Genomic DNA, 18401 nt, shown 5'->3' with positions numbered 1-18401 from the left:
AAGGACAGAGGAAATTGAGCAAAGCCAGGAAACACTATTCCACTTTACTTGTTAGCTCTTCTGAAAAAAAGAAAAAGTTTGAGAAGCACGGTGAAGGAAGTCTTCAGCCAAAATAAGGTACAAGAGCTTGTCTGTACAATTCAATTATTCATGCTTTCCCTGCCCACAATTAGTCTGGATAATCAAATACTGAGTGACCTAGAAAGAAAGAGAGACAGTGGAACATTTTCCAGTGGCCTCACACGCTCCTGATGTTGAATCCTGCTTGCTGACATTCAGTAATAGCCTCATCATGGAAAAATTGAAGGGAGTAATTAGCATCCCTGAACAAACCTTGAGAGTTTGAATTACATTTATGAGAGGAAAAATTGGGTTTTTCTGTTCTCTGGACTATAAGAATTTGGATAGACAATGCCCAAATGGCCAGCAGCCTCAGAGTCAATTACTCTGAAGTTTGTTGCCAAACACTAATTTTATTCGGTGAAAAGCAAAGTAAGAGTCCACAGGTTTGGCCCAGACCACAAATTAGCTTGCAAATGACAAATTCTCACTTTTTCCACCTAAATAAAATAAAATAGCTTCTACTGAAACATCCTGAATTTCTAGAGGATGGAAATTAACACAGAGGGCTTACTTTCAAGTACAGCCACCATTCAACAAAGCCCTTGTGGTGCTTTAGTAAATAAACTCTTTGGCTGGGATACAACAGCAGAGGTTGGTGAAAAAAAGTCAATCTGTTCATGAAAAGTTATAGTGAGATTTTAATATTTTATGAAACAAGATTATTTTAGGCTCATTCTATGAAAGGGCCATGATTTTGTAGAAAGTGAAAAATTATAGAGCTTTATATGCACTATCTCCTGTCATCCTCACAAACCAGCAAAGCAGGTATTTTTATCCTTATGTTCTAGATGAAGAAACAAAGGCACAGAGAGATTAAATCACTTGCCCATGGTCTTGACGCTGGTGATAAAGCCAGGACGCAGATGCACACAGGTGATCTGGCTGTAGAGCTGCTTCTTTAAAGCGTATGGAAAGTTTTTCATCTCTAGGGTATTGTAGAGATTATCAGATGCAAGAAAAAAATTAAACTATGGAATTAGGGCTTACTACCCCCAGGAGAAAATGAAGGCAATAGTTCTGATGATTGACATAATGCGTTCATCAAAAGGCTGAAGGTACTACTGGTTGTGAACTTTTTTTAATCCATGAGATTAATTCTGAACTTGATAGAACGTAGCATTTAATAGCTCATTTTGGCCTTGCAAAGACAGAATTTCTAGTATCATTCTGATTGTTCCACCAGGAGATATTCCATCTCCTCAGTGAAGAAAACAGCCAGATTGAGTTATAATAATTAATAAACCTCTCATAGCATTTGCTAAGCTTTGCTCTATATATCCTCTTGCAGTTTGGTTTTTCTTTCAATCCTGTTACCATTGACAAAAAGGATAATGAGAACATTTTGATTTTAATCAATGTTAAACCAAAGAATGACTTAAATAATTTCTGGAAATTATATTTGAACTATGAAATCAGGTTCATTGATCAGAATTCTATCAGTCATATTTATGTCTGTATTTATATCTCTCTATATATCCTTTTATTTTTGCTCTGAAGACACCTTTGGTAGAATTGCTGCATACAGTTACTTCAACTTGATAGGACAACTGGTTCTGCCCTTAAGTGTCACCATAAGCTTGCATTTCAGGATGCTTGAACAGTTTTTTGTTTTATAAACAAGTTTATAATCTTGTTTCATAAAATATTAAAATCTCACTATAACTTTTCATGGCTTTTAACTTTTTTTGTATTGCCTTATTATAAGCAGAAGAGAAGTGGGATTCTTTTGTCTCTTATTTATTAGTCAACAATGTCTCAGTTTCAAATTTAAAAGTCAGAAAATAGCTTCTGAAATACAGAGAACTACTTTTCAAGGGATGGTTAGCCTGCAGATCTTATGTGACTAAAACTTAGATGTTTATATTTTTATGCTAATATATTTCATGTATATTTGGAGCTGTTTCATTTCTTGGAGAATTCCTCTTTTTTTATAGAAAGAAACTCATTATTTTTCTCACTACTACAGCTTGTATTTTTAAAATCATTTGTTAATATCATATTATCCTCTTACTTTTTCATAACTTGGCAAGGAATAGAAATCTGACCCTCAAAAGAAAAGCATAGGGCAGTATGGGTCATATAATAAGAATACACTGGAAGAAATTAACTGGTTCTGGTCTCATCTTGCCCATTCTACCAGCTTCAGATAAGGTAAAGCAACTTTTATCAGACTAACCCACTTAAAAATATAAATTATGAACTCTAGACAAAATAAAAATAAATCAAACAGCCTCTTAAAGGTAATGGACCATGAATAAAAGTCGGCAAAAATGAAAAGGATTTCAACCCTTGAAATAGGGCAACTACATTGCATGAGGTCCATATGTATTCATCTTTTCCCTGAGAGCATTCCTCAGATGGTAAGGCATAAATGGATAAAGTGTAAGTGAAAAGCAGCTACTTTGCTGAGCTGAGGCATCAGAGAGGGAGTCAGGAGCTGCCAAAGTGGTCAGAAATTGAGGAGAGAAATTCCATAAAGGGAGAAATCCACAGTAGGGATAAGCCCCAAAAGTCTGGGCATAAATTACCTTTAAATACTTGGCTGATTCTTGAATGGAGCATGTACAAGGCAAGACTCCAAGGATACTCAAGGGAAAACAATAACTAGAAACTGGAAAGAACGAACTGAGCAGAGCTTTTAGCATCTGCATATTGCAGGAAAGACAAAGGGAGTTTAAGACCTGACCCAACAGAGCATGGTGGCTCATGCCTGTAATCCCAGCACTTTGGGAGGCCAAGGCAGAAGGATTGCTTGAGGCCAGGAATTCAAGACCAGCCTGGGCAACATAGCGAGACTATGTCTCTACAAAATATGAAAAAATTAGCCAGGCATGGTGACACGTGCCTGTAGTACCAGCTGCTTGGGAGGCTGAGGCAGGAGGATCACTTGAACTCAGGAGGTTGAGGTTGCAGTGAGCTGAGACTGTGCCATTGCACTCCAGCCTGGGTGACCGAGTGAAACGCTATCTCTAAGAAAAAACAAACAAACAAACAAACACCTACCCTAAGAAGGGTCATGCTTTAGGACTAAAATCTACATCCCAGTTCTAAAGTATTTGCCTTAGAACTCAGAGAAAAACTGAAATATACCTACCCTAATAAAGCCTAAAACCAAACATTCACAAATTCAAAGTTATATGCAAGAAATTTAACAGCCTGCTAGAATGGAACTTAACATTCTTTTAGAGAAGATAATAGAATTCAGAACCTTTACAATGATTTAGCCATGATGTGAGCTATACAATAAAAACTTAGTAGGTCTGAAAAGAAACAGAAGAATGTGACCCACAGTTAAGAGAATAATCAATCAATAGAAACAGTCTTACAGATGATCCAGACATTGAATAGTAGACCAAGACTTTAAAATAACTCTAATAAATATGTTTTTAAATCTATAGGGAAATGGGACTGCAATGGGTATGGATATTCAAGGAATGTGGGAAGTATAAAAAAGAATCAAACAGAAATCCTAGAACTAAAAAAAAAAAAAAGAATATCTGAAATTAAAATTTCGTCAGATGTGATTAATAACAACAGAAGAAAGAATCAGTTAACTAAAGACTAGTCAAAGAAAGTAATCTAAATTGGAGCTCAAAGGAAAAAGACTGGAGAAAAAGAACAGAGCCTTGAGAACCTTAGAACAATGCCAAATGGTCTGATGCACATGTAACTGAAGTCCCAGTAGAACAGAAGAGAATCGAAAAGAAAAATTATTTGAAAAAATAGTGTCTGAAAAACCTCCAAATTTGATCCAAAACATTAGCCTGTAGATCCAGGAAGCTCAGCTAACCCAAATCAGGATACACTTTAAAAAAAAATTCATAGGCATATTATGGCCACACTTCTAAAAAGTAAAGACAAAGAGAGACTCTTGAAAGTAGCCAATATAAAAAGATATTATATACTGGGGGAAAGATGTTATATACACAGGAACAAGGATGGGAAAAGGTATAAATGATGACTAATTTTTAATTAGAGATTCAACAATTAAAAATTAATTATAATTAGAACATAAAAAGCTTTCACACAATTCTATTGATATAAAAACATGCATAACTAACAATATTTTAAATTTATTCCATTACATCTTCTTATAATTTTATTTCAGTGGCTTTGAGAAATCCCAGAGTAGAAAACTTTCAGAGTGGTTTTATTGTTAACTAAAACTAAAAGCACTTCCTTTTATTCTGTGTAGAAAGGGGAGAAAAGATGGTAATGGCAATTACATTAATGTGGTGGAATTATATTCCTTTTCTCCATATTTCATCTCAAATTTTCAAACCTAATTTTGGTGCCTTGTTCTCCCTTAATACTTCAATGTTTATTTCTGAAACATAATGCCGCTCTCACATATAACAGTAACATAATCTTTAAAATCAGTAAATTAACAGTGATCTATTATTACCACCTAATCCAAATATTTCTCTCAAATTTTGCTGATTGTCCTAATATTGTCCCAAATAGGTTTAGGATTAAGTTCAGATCATGCACTGCATTTACATTTCTTCCACCTTTTAATTTTTAATTTTTTTTTTTTGAGACAGTCTCACTCTGTCACCCACACTAGAGTAGTGTGCTCATAAGTCACTGCAGCCTTGAACTCCTGGGCTTAAGCAATCCTCCCACCCCCAACTTCCCAAAACGCTGGGATTATGGGCATAAGCCACCACACCTGGCCCAGGTGCTCTTCCATTTTGTATAGTTTTCAGGTCATTTCTTAATTTTCATGATCTTGAGGATTTTTTTAACTTTATATTTTGAACTAATTTCTGACTTAAAAATTTTTTCAGGGCCAGGCATGGTGGCTCACATCTGTAATCTCAGCAATTTGGGAGGCCAAGGCGGGTGGATCACCTGAGGTCAGAAGTTTGAGACCAGCCTAGCCGACATGGTGAAACCCCGTCTCTCCTAAAAATACAAAATTTAGCCGGGTGTGGTGGTGGGTGCCTGTAATCCCAGCTACTCGGGAGGCTGAGGCAGGAGAATTGCTTGAACCCGGGAGGCGGAGGTTGCAGTGAGCTGATGCTGAGATCATGCCATTGTACTCCAGCCTGGGTGACATACTATCTTTCAAAAGATTTTTTTTTTTTTGAGACTCTGACTCAAAAAAAAAAAATCTTTCCAAAGATAGTACAGAAAATTTCTATATGCTGTTCATCTAGCTTTAATCTTTCTCTCTTTCTCCCTATAAATGTACATAAAATAATTTTTTTCAGAAACATTTCAGAGTAAGTTGCAGATACAATGCCTCTTTACTTTCAAAAATTTCAGTGTGAGTTTCCTAATAACCAGGGCTTTCTCTTACATAACTGTATCACAGTTATCAAACTTAGAAAAATTAACCTTGATATAATACTCCTATCTAAACTACAGACATTCAATTTTGTCAATCAACTTACTAATTTTCTTTTTATCAAAAGAAAACTAATGTCTGGTCCAGGGTTCAATTCGGGATCACAAGTTTCATTTAGTTTGTCATGCATTTTTTGTTTCCTTTAATCTGAAATAGTTCCATAGTCTTTTGTGTCTTTCATGACCCTGGCATTTTTTAATAATACAAGCCAGTTATCTTATAGACTGTCTCTCAAAAAATGGAAAATCTCAGCAGACAAATAAAAACAATGAAAAGAACCAAATGGGAGATTTAGAACTGAAAAAGGTAATAACTGACATAAGAAAATCACTGGGTGAGCTCATAAGAATGGGGATGACAGAGGAATAAGTCAGTAAACTTGACAATAGATCCATCAAAATTATCTAATGTGAAGAACACAGAGAAAAAGACTGTAAAACAAAATAACAGAGAAAAAATTAACAAAGCCTCAGGACCTGTTTGACAACATGAAAACATCTAGTATATATGTAACTAGAATTCTAGAAAGATAAGAGAAAGAGATTGAGACACAAAAAATATTTGAAGACATATTGGCCAAAAGCTTTCCAATATTTGGTGAAAGACATAAATGTGTAGATTCAAGAAGCTTAGCAAACTCCAAACAGGATAAATTCAAAGAAGGGCATGGCTAGACATATGAAAATTTAACTGCTGAAAAGAAGGCACAGAAAACAGCCCTTGAAAACAGCTAGGAAAAAAAGACACAGGACATACAAGGAAACAATGATCTGAATCACTGCAGTTTCTCATCCAAATCATAGAAACCAGAAGACAGTGGAAGAAATTACTTTCAGAAGGGCAGCATGAAAAATTTTAAACATTCACGCCCTTTATCTTAGAATTCCACTGCTAGGAATTGGTCGTGAATAAATGAAAAAAAAGTGACTAAAATGTACACATAGGATGCTATTTACAGTGTTGTCTAAAACAGCAAAAACTGTAAATAATAAACATTTTTTGGAGGAAGGGTTCAATATATTATTGTGTACCTATATAAATACTAGGCAGCCATTACACATCTTACTCATATATTTATTGACATATAAAGATGTCCACAATCTTGTTAAGTGTTAACAGCAGACTATTAAAAGGATGCACTTATGTATGTTTCTGAATTTACACAGCAAGTTCTCATTAAGGTAAGAAAGACAATAAACCAACTTGGTCTAAGTAGGAAAACCAAATGGTCAAACTACTTTTAGGTTCAGAAATTAGTATTCTTTTCAACATTATTTCATCTTAGTGTTAAAATTCTCAAATCGTGACCAAAAAGCCATGTCTTCTTGATTGAAGTGAGTTCCTCTTGAAAAGCCCATTTAGGGCCAGGCGCTGTGGCTCACGCCTGTAATCCCAGCACTTTGGGAGGCCGAGGTGGGTGGATCACGCGGTCAGGAGATCGAGACCATCCTGGCTAACACGGTGAAACCGTTTCTACTGATAATACAAAAAAAGTTAGCCGGGCGTGGTGGCAGGCGCCTGTAGTCCCAGCTACTAGGGAGGCTGAGGCAGGAGAATGGCGTGAACCTGGGAGGCGGAGCTTGCAGTAAGCCAAGATCACGCCACTGGCACTCCAGCCTGGGAGAGAGCGAGACTCGGTCTCAAAAAAAAAAAAAAAAAATCCCATTTAATATACCTGTGGTAGAGTGTTTAAAGTGGCATCAATGAATCATACCTCCCTAGTCCACACACCTTTGTCATGTGACTTCACCACTCCTTCTATCAAGGAGTGAAATCTGTTTCCCCACACCTTGAATCTAGCTGGCCTTGCAGCTTGCTTTGACCGCTAGAATGCAGCAGAAATGATGTTCTGGGATTTTTGAGCCTATACCTTAAGCAGCCTTGTAGCTTCTGCTTCTGCTTTTGGGACCCAGCAATTATGTAAAAGCTACTCTACTGGAAAGAGAAGCCAAGTGAGGAGAGAGGCCCCTGAGGATGGGAGACCATAAAAGAGAGAGGACAGACACACAGAGAAGAACAGAGTACGTACCACGGCCAGCAGCCAGCACCAAGGCCCAGACTCCAGAGTGAAGCTACTTTTTTTTTTTTTTTTTTAATACTTTAAGTTCTAGGGTACATGTGCAGGTTTGTTACATATGTATACATGTGCCATGTTGGTGTGCTGCACCCATGCTATTTTGGATCCTCCAGCTCCAGTTGAGCTTTCCTGGCTGAAACCATGTGGAACAAAAAGATAAGCCTTCTACACTGAGTTCTGCATAGATTCCTGATCCACAGGGTCATCAACAAATGGTGGTTGCTTTAAGCCACTGTTTTGTGATAGTCATGCAGCAGTAGATGACTGAAATAATACTTTCAGTTGAAAATCTTAACAAGGTATGCACTGCACATAGCTAGATAATAAGCAATGTCAGAATAAGCAATGACCACTTAGTGACCTTTGCTTTTTTTGAAACAAGGGTCTCACTCTGTCCCCCAGGTTGGAATGCAGTGGCACAATCTCTGCTCACTGCAACCTCCACCTCTCGGGCTCAAGTGATTCTCTCTGCTCAGTCTCCAGAGTAGCTAGGAGTACAGGCATGCACCACCACACCCTGCTAATTTTTGTATTTTTTGTAGAGATGGGGTACTGCCATGTTGCCCAGGCTGCTCTCAAACTCCTGGGCTCAAGCGATCCTCCTGCCTCAGTCTCCCAAGCTGCTGTGATTACAGGTGTGAGCCACTGTGCCTGGCCCAGCAATCATTTTGAATGACAGTACAACAGCAAAACTGTCCCTACTGAAAAGACTGAATTGAGGTATTCAAATAAAGCTTAATGAATTTGATTTCCAAGTGGATATCAGTCACCAAGATCCTATTATAAGAAAAAAAATGTTTAAAGCTTTGTCATTCTGACACTTAAAATTGTAATGTAGACTTAAATTCATTTTACAAAGGTATATTTGAAAATCCACAGTAACAGGGCAAATAATTTAAAACAATGTTCTGCTAAAATGACTCTAATAATTCATGGCAGTAAAAATTTTGAGTTCAATATAGAGACATCTACCATACAACAAATTATCAAGGTGATCTCAGTAATTCTCACTGTACACATTTTTATTTAAATAACTCACACAACCTTTGACAACTATTGAATCTTTCTCATTCCAAGTCCTAAATAAGCAACTTCAGGTCATTTCACATAGTTAACATTATGAGAAACAGATACCTTTTACCATTCATTTAAAAACATAGTATGCATTTAAAATCATATTCTCCCATTCGGTTCAGGTGCTGATAACCAGCGTTCATTTCAGACATCAACCTAAAACAGGGTTGTAGGGATTCTTCCTGGTTACATTAAAATCATTGCCAGAAAAGGAAGCTGCCATTATTAAAGAGATAACAGATTTCCTAAGATGAGTTCTCTCCAAATTTGACAGTAATAGCAACAGCACTCATAAGAATAATATGATGTATCCTTTAAAACCCTCCTTACACACGTTATTTTATTAGATCCTCATAAAGGGCATATATCAATTTTATAGAGTTATAAACAGATGTCTGTATAGACAAGAAGGATGCTTGCTGTCACTATAATGAAGTTAAATTGTAAGCCTATGCCTCCTAAAAGTAAAACAAATGTCTAATGCTTAGTTCATGTATTATCATAAGTGGAGATACGACAGACAGGCACACTCAGCCCTGTAACACAGGTAGGAAAGTGAGGACATAACACAGTTCCATGTCTACTTAAAGTGTAAATTTCACGGAAATCTTTCAGACAGTTATCAGACTTTGGTCACTTTTCTTGATTACCAAAAGAGTCAAACAACAGTTCCTTTTAAAAGGAAACCATCATTTCCTATGATACCCTATCCTATAATAAACAAAACAATTCACAAGACAATTGAGAATAGATATTGAAGAAAAATGGTACCTAGAGAGAACTGGAAGTATCGTATTATAGTATGTAATTTAGAAAGTGACTGCAAATTAAAATGTTCCATTAAGGCTGCCCAATAAGCTTAAAATTCAGTGGTTTATTGTGGGATCTATTTTACTGCTAGTTATCAGAATGAAGCATAACAAGAAGTCAATTAACTGAGAATTTACCCTTTTAAAGAAATTTATGATTAAATTGTGAAAATGATAACGATGAGAAAGAAATTCAGGATCTTAGCAAGTTAACCAGAGAGGAGTCATAAACGGCATATAAATGCTAAAGCTGAAATGAACAGGGATGGCAGCTGCTCAGGGAACAATGAAGTGAAGTCAATCCTGAATTCCAACTTGAAAATGTTTAAAGTAAACAAGCAGGATCTAGGAGGTCATCTAGGAGGTCATTTTAAGGAAATGATAAGGAAAGACAAAAGGAAAGAAGAGCAAAACAGCTTTAGAAGTTAGTTAGGGGCAGAAATAGAAATTCATGTTTGGAGGTAAAAGTTCTCCAAATTTCCAGATGCTTTCATTAGTAATTGAGTCATTTTACTTTCTCTTCCTGGAAGAGGGTTTGGAAATCATTTATTTTAAGATGCAATGGGAAATAAAAGTGAAAATTAAATGTTTGATGAGCTAGACATGCAGAACAGTCAATATCTTCTCCCTACTCTGTTCTTCATTTTCCAAGCCAGAATTTCTCTGCATGCCTTTCTCATCTAATTTGTCACCAAATCCTATAAAGCTACTTTTTAAATATTTCTTGAACCTGCCAACTGCTTTCTGGTTCCACCTCTTAAGTCCGTGCTATGTCCTCCTAATTGGTCTCAGGCCCATGAGTCTTAATTTCTCCATCACTACTAAGTTGCAAAAATGATCTTTCTAAAATAAAGAGGATTATGGCATTCTACTTAAAATCCTTCAGTGACACCTCATAGCTTTCAGAAAAGTGTACACTCATGGATCCTGCTTGATTTTCTAGCTTCATCTTCACAACTCCATACAGGCACTCTTTGTTCCAGGCAAAGTGAACAGCACATGCCCCATGCCATGCTCTCTCCTCCAGCCACCAATTTGCCGGTGTAACTGTCACTTGGCTTTAAATTTTGGCTTGCACGGGATTGTTTCCTCAGAATGCCTGCCTTCTTTAATCTCACAGTGTGATTTTGATGTTTCTTTTCTTGGCTCCCCTCCCATAGCCTCAGGTGTAAAACACCATCATAGCCTGAAGGGGATTAGGAAAGGACCAGCAGGCAATTGTCCAGGGCTCCAATCCTCAAGAAAATGTAAACGTCATTAGGAATGTTGCAGATCAATACTCTATGTGGTAGGGAGATTACTGTGACAAGCTTCTAGGAATGAGAAGGCTAAAATGACCCAGGAATATGCTTGAATAGTAATAAATCACTTTTAAAATACCTTTCAAAGAGGGTAAGTTTGGTTAGTTTCTGTTTTTGTTCTGCTAGTTAGGTGTGCAAGCTTGAAGTCAGAGCTGAGCTGCTTAGAACAATACTCTGCTAGCAGACATCCTTCCTCATCCTTCACTGCACCGTGCTTGTGGTGCAGTAGTCTGTGCAAAACTGTGATCTTTCCCCAAAGAAAAGTGGAACAAATACTTTAAAAACATCTGTTTGAAAGGGAACTGTATTAGTCCATTTTCACGCTGCTGATAAAGACATACCCAAGATCGGGTAATTTTTAAAGAAAATGAGGTTTAATGGACTCACAGTTCCACGTGGCTTGGGAAGCCTCATAATTCTGGCAGAAGGTGAAAGGCATGTCTTACATGACAGCAGATGAGAGAATGAGGACCAAGCAAAATGGGTTTCCCCTTATAAAACCATCAGATCTCGTGAGACTTATTACTACCATGAGAACAGTATGCAGAAAAGCACCCCCATGATTCAATTATCTCCCACCAGGTCCCTCCTACAACATGTGGGAACTATGTGAGCTAAAATTCAAGATGAGATTTGGGTGGGGACACAGCCAAACCATATCAGAAACCAAATACCTAATTAGCTTTCTCAGGCCATGCTATGTTTCTGTCTGGTCCTGATTATAGTATTTATCACACAATATTCTAATAAGTTGAATTACTTATCTAAGGTCTCCATAAGCTTCATAACGACCAAGGCTATAACTTTTTTGTTTTGTAACAAATATGAAAAAGAAACTTGTTCACCCAAAGTGTGTGATCTTTAAGTGCAGTGAACTGACGCCCAAAGATCAAGATTTAGCAGTGTATGTTCAACGCTGTCCAGAGAAGAATGACCTTGAGTCAAACAGATAAGAATATTCTGTTCATTAAAGAGGCATTCTTTATTGTGAGGCAGATACCAATCATTGTGAGTGAAATGTCCCTTAAAATTATTTTTATCTTTTTGGTTTATCTTTGTATTCATCAGATAAATTACTGACTGTTCATTCCATTTCCTAAATACCATCATAGAAAAAATGAAGAATACTGGAGGGAGAAGACCAAATCTCTGGTCACTGGAAAAATAGAGCAACCATTATAAATCAATAAATTTACACTTTTTTTTTTTTTCCTTGAGACAGAGTTTAGCTCTTGTTGCCCAGGCTGGAGTGCAATGGTGCAATCTCAGCTCACTGCAACCTCCACCTCCTGGATTCAAGCGATTCTCCTGCCTCAGCCTCCCAAGTAGCTGGGACTACAGGTGTGCACCACCACGCCCAGCTAATTTTTGTAGTTTTAGTAGAGACAGGGTTTTTCCATGTTGGCCATGCTGGTCTTGAACTCCTGACCTCAGGTGATCCACTCGCCTCAGTCTCCCCACGTACTGGAATTACAGGCATGAGCCACTGTGCCCGCTTGATAAACTTACATCTTATCTTGTGCATTATTCTCTTACAAGCATGATTAGCAGGTGAGGAGGTCTTAAGTTTGACCAACTGAGTTCATGGACAAAAAGTTACTTCTAGACCATTCACTTGGCACTGTCACCTTTCTGAGGTCTTGGGAAAATAAAATCCAATAATATATGTGTAACCGTTTTCAAAGTTATAAAGCTCCTATATTTTTTTTCTTTGACAAGAATGACCTTTATATTTCAAAGGATATTTTAGCTTTGATTGTTTTCTCCCTAAAATAAAATTTTATCTTGGTACTGCTTTTGGCCAGCCAAATAAATTTTATGCTCTTGACCTGATTTAAACTAATATTTTTCTTCTTTCTGATGCCAGTAAAATATTGTTATACTCAACTTTTCTCAAGAGAAAGATGTTCTGTGTTTCTTCATAGTAGGCAACAGCATTTAAGGGAAAAGGGGGTATCTCTTGAACTGATGACTCTTTTTCTGGAAAATATACAGAATACTGTGAAAAAATAAGCTGTAATGATCTGTTAGGATTACATTACATTACTTTAATAGAGAAGAATCCTACACATATGTGGAATTTACAAGAAATGGTGTTATTTTCTGGTAATGACCCATGTTGACTTGGCAGTTGTTTAACTATAATGTCAACCAATTACGTTTAAAATCTCAAGCAAATTGGAAAGATGGTTCCAGAAAAAAGGTAATATCGAGGGCAAGTAAAATTATTTCCTGAAAACTTCTGCTACTTGAGCTTTATAACATTTAAAACAAATATAGATAATCTTAAATTTTGTCAAATTGGGAAACGGAATCATTCAGATTAGGCCACTCAACCCAGTAGAAATACTATTTTTTTCACATCTTTTTTGTTAGACTAGAAAACTATGTTATGCTAAAATGAATAGGTTCACAATTGCTTTTCTAAAACCCATAGGGTAATTGGGTTGTGGAATTCAAATATTTTCAGATTTTAGAAAGGTAATACCATGTGTTTGCCACATAGTGCAGTGGTAGGAAGTGGCTCTCTGAAAAAGTTTGTATGTGTACATATAAGTTTATTATAAATTTTACTGATATAAACAATCTGTAACACAAAATTACAAATAAAAATAAATAATACGTTTTACTGTAAATTTTTGATTTCACAGAATGCTTTCATTTTTTTTTGCATAATTTTCACATTCATAGTTAACCTATGGTTGTGACTGATGTAGAAATGTACTTTAGTCATGAATGTTTGTTGGTATTTTCCTTTTTTCCTAAATCTGTATTTGGGTTTACTAGTTCTCTTTTTAGTTTCTTTAACTGAACACTTGCTCATTTATTTTAATACATATATATAGAGAGAGAGATAGATGTACGTCCACATCCAGATAGAGACAGACAGACAATAGATGATTGATAGATAGATAGATAGATAGATAGATAGATAGATAGATAGACACACACACACACATACATACATACATACTAAACACAGTTCAGGCCATACATTTCTAAATTCCACTATGGCTGCATCTCTACAAATTTTATGTTGCACTTTCACTGTTTTTTCTTGATTTTTCAAAAACCAAACATACATGGTTTAGAAGCACTATTTTAGGACCCATTAAACTGCTCTAAATTCTCCAGCTTATATTCACCTATTCCAATATTTTTGAACTGTTTCCTGCAAAATATTTACAAGTTTTCCTTTCCTTGATAAAGAAGTTTGGGAAGAAAGGGTTACGCAAAGTTGAAATGAGTTTCCCTAATGTAGGATTAATTGGCTAATATGCATTATAAATCTATAAAAAGGAAATATGGAAGGCACATTTACTATAAGTATTGGACCACAGATTTTTTTTTTTTTTTTTTTTTTTTTTTGACGAGGTCTTCCTCTGTCACCCAGACTGGAGACCTGTGGCACAATCATAGCTCACGGCAACCTCAAATTCCTGAGCCCAAGCAATATTCCTGCCTCAGCCTCACAAATAGCTGGGACTACTGACATGCACCACCATGCCTTGCTAATATTTTAAATTTTTGTAGAGAGGTCTCCCTATGTTAACCAGGCTGGTCTTGAACTCTTGGCCTCAAGCTCTCCTCCCAAAGTGCTGGGATTACAAGCATGAGCCACTGTGCCCTGCTGAACAAAGATTTTTGTTTGTTTTTGCTAAAACTATTTAAGTTTAATGAACCAACTTAGAAATATTTACCTACTCTATAGTAGTTGACGTCAGTATCACTACTTTTACCTGTAATCATCATTTAGTAATATATTAATCAGGATTGTTAATTGCAAATAATAAAAGTAACTCTCAACAAGTTTAAGCATAAAATAAATTTATTAAGAGATAATAAATGGACAAAATATTCTCCAGGAAAGCCAGGGATCGACTTTAGAGGCTAGCACCAGAAACGATTCCCAGGTCACACCACTGGATTGCTGTTTTGGCACCACTAAAATGGCAGTAAATCCATGAAAAAGGAAAGTCATAAGCTGACAAATACAGCAGGGGAAGAGACCAGCAGTAGCAGTTTGGAGGCCAGAAAACACATAAATTACTACTTTAATAGACTAGGGAAAGTTGAGATCTATGTCTCTGGCATGAAAACTTCAAAATTTGGCTGATTAGGACGTCAAGACCCTAAAATAGTTCAAGAATTAGAGATAACATTTACTTCTGAACCAGGAGGTGGGTTTGGGGGAAAGGAGTATAGAACTAAGAACAAGAGAATTCATCGAAAATCTGTATAAAAAGCAGTTACAGCCTTGGAAACTGTTCCCCACCCCATGTAGCAGGGTGACTGCTGATTAGGATTAAGCGCTTATTCTACGGAGAGACTTCAAATTCTGGGATATTAGGCATAGGTGAGAGCAGAAATAGTACATGCCAACACCACAAAACAGTGAGAGGTTCCATACTGAAAAATCTACATGTTGAATGGTAACGATCATAGCCCCCCCCCCTTCTTTACTCTGATTCTAATTCCCTGGAGGATTTCTTTCCAGGAAGCCTAAAGAGGCTAAAAGAAAAGTCCTACAGATAGAATTGACGGTACCCACTGAAATAGCCCAGTTTCATAATCATACAGTGAAGTCCAGCAATTGATAAGGCCCATCCAGGATATGGTTTCCAATCAATTTCTTGCTACTTGAAAATTAAATGGGAATAAGAGAGGAAGATCACTAAACACTTGAGGAATGTCTCAATAGGAAAGACAGAGACCAAAACAAGCAAACAAAAAGTGGACTTCAGAAGAAACAGAAACAAATTTCAAATGAATTTTCTAACTATAATTAAATTCCTTAGCTGGCCACAGTGGCTTAAGCCTTTAATCCCAATACTTTGGGAGGCTGAGGTGGGAGGATCACTTGAGGCCATGAGCTCAAGCCCAGTCTAGGCAACATAGCAAAATCCCATCTCTACAGGAAAAGAAAAAGGCTTTAAAAATTCCTTAAAGAGTTTAAAAAAAAAAAAAAAGACTTTTGTATCCATGAAACAAGAACAGAAAGCAATTTAAAAATTTAAAAGAAAAAAAAAAAGAACTAAAAACGTGACAATGGTAACCTATAACAGAAAAGTTAACAAGGAGAAATAAACCCAGAAAGTGGAATCCCTCCCAGAAAGGATAAATGGATGAATTCAAAGAAAGAAAAAGAAATGGGACATGGGAAAGAAAAATTCTAGAGAATTAGAGGGTGTTTCAGTTATTTAATATTTTATAACAAACTACCCCAAAACTTAGTGAATTAAAACAATTTATTATTTCTCAATGTTCTGTGGGTTGACTGGGTTCAGTTTAGCATGTCTTCTGCTCTTTTGCTACACTCACCTGGTAACTTGGCCAGGGCTCAATATTCCAAGATGTCCTTTCACCCTCTAAGGCCTCTTTCCACATGACCTTTCATTATGAGGTAATCCGCGCCAAGTATCTTTACATAAAAAAAATGTAGGAAGTAGAAGTGTCTAGCACCCTTATGGCCTGGTCTTGAAATCCCATATACCTTCTGCCACTTTCTATTGATTAAAGCAAGTCACAAGATCAGCCCAGATTCAAGGAAAGGGAACATGGATTTCATTTGTTGATGTGAGGAATAGCATGCACATAAGGTTTGGGAGGTATCACTGAGCATTGTCTTTAATTATTTATTATTTTTTACTTTTGAGACGGAGTCTCACTCTATCACTCAGGCTGGAGTGCAATGGTGTGATCTTGGCTACTGCAATCTCTGCCTCCCGGATTCAAGCAATTCTCTTGCCTCAGCCTCCTGAGTAGCTGGGATTACAGGTGCCCACCAACATGCCCAGCTAATTTTTGTATTATTAGTAGAGACGGGGTTTCACCATGTTGGTCAGACTGGTCTCAATCTCCTGACCTCAGGTGATCCACCTGCCTCCACCTCAAAAATGCTGGGATTACAGGCATGAGTCACCTCACCTGGCCAAGCACTATCTTTAGAATCAATCTTCCACACCACACAAGATCACTTTAAGGTGTCCAAAATCCCTAAAATAGGAGTTTGAGAAAGAAAGAACAGACAATATAAGATAGGAAAAAGAAATTCAAAAATAAGTTTTATCATAATTATCAGAACTGAAGGACATAAATTTCCATATTGAGAAAGCCCATCAAAGTGCTCCAGCAGCAAAACAAACAAGCACAAAGACTTGTACCAATAAATACTGCCATGAAATTTTAGAACCCTGACCATAAAGAGAAGATCCTAAAAGCTTCTACAGGAAAGGAAAAAAACAGATTACATTTTAAAAATCAAGAATCAGAATAACATTATACTTATCAAAAACAATAAGAGAACCTAGAAGTTGGTGGTGGAGCAATACCTTCAAATTTCTGAGGAAAAAAATTACTTCCAACCTAGGATTCTATATACAGCAAAATATTAATCTAGTCTATACACAGCAAAATATTAATCTAGTCTGCAATGGAATAAAGACATTGTTAGACAAGCAATTTCTCAAATAATTAAAAGCACACGCTAAAATCACAACATTATCAGAGGAAGCTACTGGAGAGTGAGTTCTATCAAAATTATGGAATAAACGAAGTAAAAGGAAGAAACTGGATCCACTCAGGAGAAAGATGGAAGGACAATGTGAATAGAAAGGAAAGGTGACTAGAGAGACCCTATAGGGTAGTCTCCCTATAAATCAACCAGCCTGCCTTAAAACAGGAAAGGCACTCAAGAGGGGAAATCTTCAAGAAAAAGATAAAATCGTTGGATTACCTAATGAACAGTTGTTAGTACCAATTAAATGAGAACCCTAACTCAGATCTAAGAAACAAAGAGTTCTGATTTTAAAAAGAAAAGCAGCTAATGTGACTACAGCATCCTTCTACAAGGCAATCCCAACTTCTGATGTAGGACTATGATCAAAATATTGCCAGCTGATCAAAGTATTGCCAGATATCAGTTATGGTGATTTAGTTGCTTGCACTTGACATGTCCCTTTTCCATGACATTGGCAACTTTCTTGGCTTGGCTTTTTTGAGTCAGAAAAGCATATTTGTTTTTGAAGGAGACTGTTTGTTTTGAAAGCAAAAGTTTCAAAATGATAAAAAGTTGAAGATTTGAGTGGCTGGAGTGCACAGATGAGGCCTACACAAACTACTTTTTCATACGTAGATTGTATTCATTTTCCTGGATAGGGACAAAAACAGTATTATGTTTCCATGGATTTGAAAACAGTTACTTCATGATTTTTTTTTTAACTAACATTACGTAGTCTGAATTACAAAAGGTTTATAAACGATTTAATGGATTGAAACAATATTTGCCATCCATGATTATTTTTGAAAGTGAATTGCTATTAAAATCTAACTAAAACTTCATACAAAACAATTTATTGTCTTCTAAACTCTATTTTGATGAAAACATTTTATAATTTCCATAAATATGTAACTTAAAAATCTCATTTTTCTCAAATATCTTACAAATTCCCTACATTTAGGCTATTTAAATTAATTTCAGTGAAAGCTAGAAATTATAACCATAGCCTGAAAATTAATCAATTTTCATTTCATAAACTCATAGATTTTTAATGTTGACATAAAAAATGGTTTTACATGCTATTAAGAAGAGTCACAAATGTTAAGAAGTTTACAGTCACTAACCTTCAACATAAATTTTAAAAAACAGTATATCTATTGGATAC

At 36.3% G+C, this 18401-nt stretch overlaps 1 protein-coding gene across 1 annotated transcript in view, besides 1 other annotated feature; it reads left to right on the top strand.

Annotated features, from left to right (window-relative positions):
- Window positions 1-18401, top strand: part of ENKUR (enkurin, TRPC channel interacting protein) — an 80343-nt gene that overhangs the window by 14820 nt on the left and 47122 nt on the right. The gene's annotated exons all lie outside the window — the stretch shown is intronic.
- Window positions 10951-11100: an enhancer, noted in NCBI's record as "active region_3162". NCBI's record gives its function as "activates an Ori minimal core promoter by ATAC-STARR-seq in GM12878 lymphoblastoid cells {active_cell/tissue: GM12878}" and the evidence as "EXISTENCE:reporter gene assay evidence [ECO:0000049][PMID:35858748]".

The sequence above is a fragment of the Homo sapiens genome, chromosome 10 (assembly GCF_000001405.40).
Source record: "Homo sapiens chromosome 10, GRCh38.p14 Primary Assembly".
In the NCBI taxonomy this organism is placed as follows: Eukaryota; Metazoa; Chordata; class Mammalia; order Primates; family Hominidae; genus Homo; species Homo sapiens.
The sequence above is the reverse complement of the archived record's forward strand: the minus strand, read 5'-3'. Positions and strand labels throughout refer to the sequence as shown.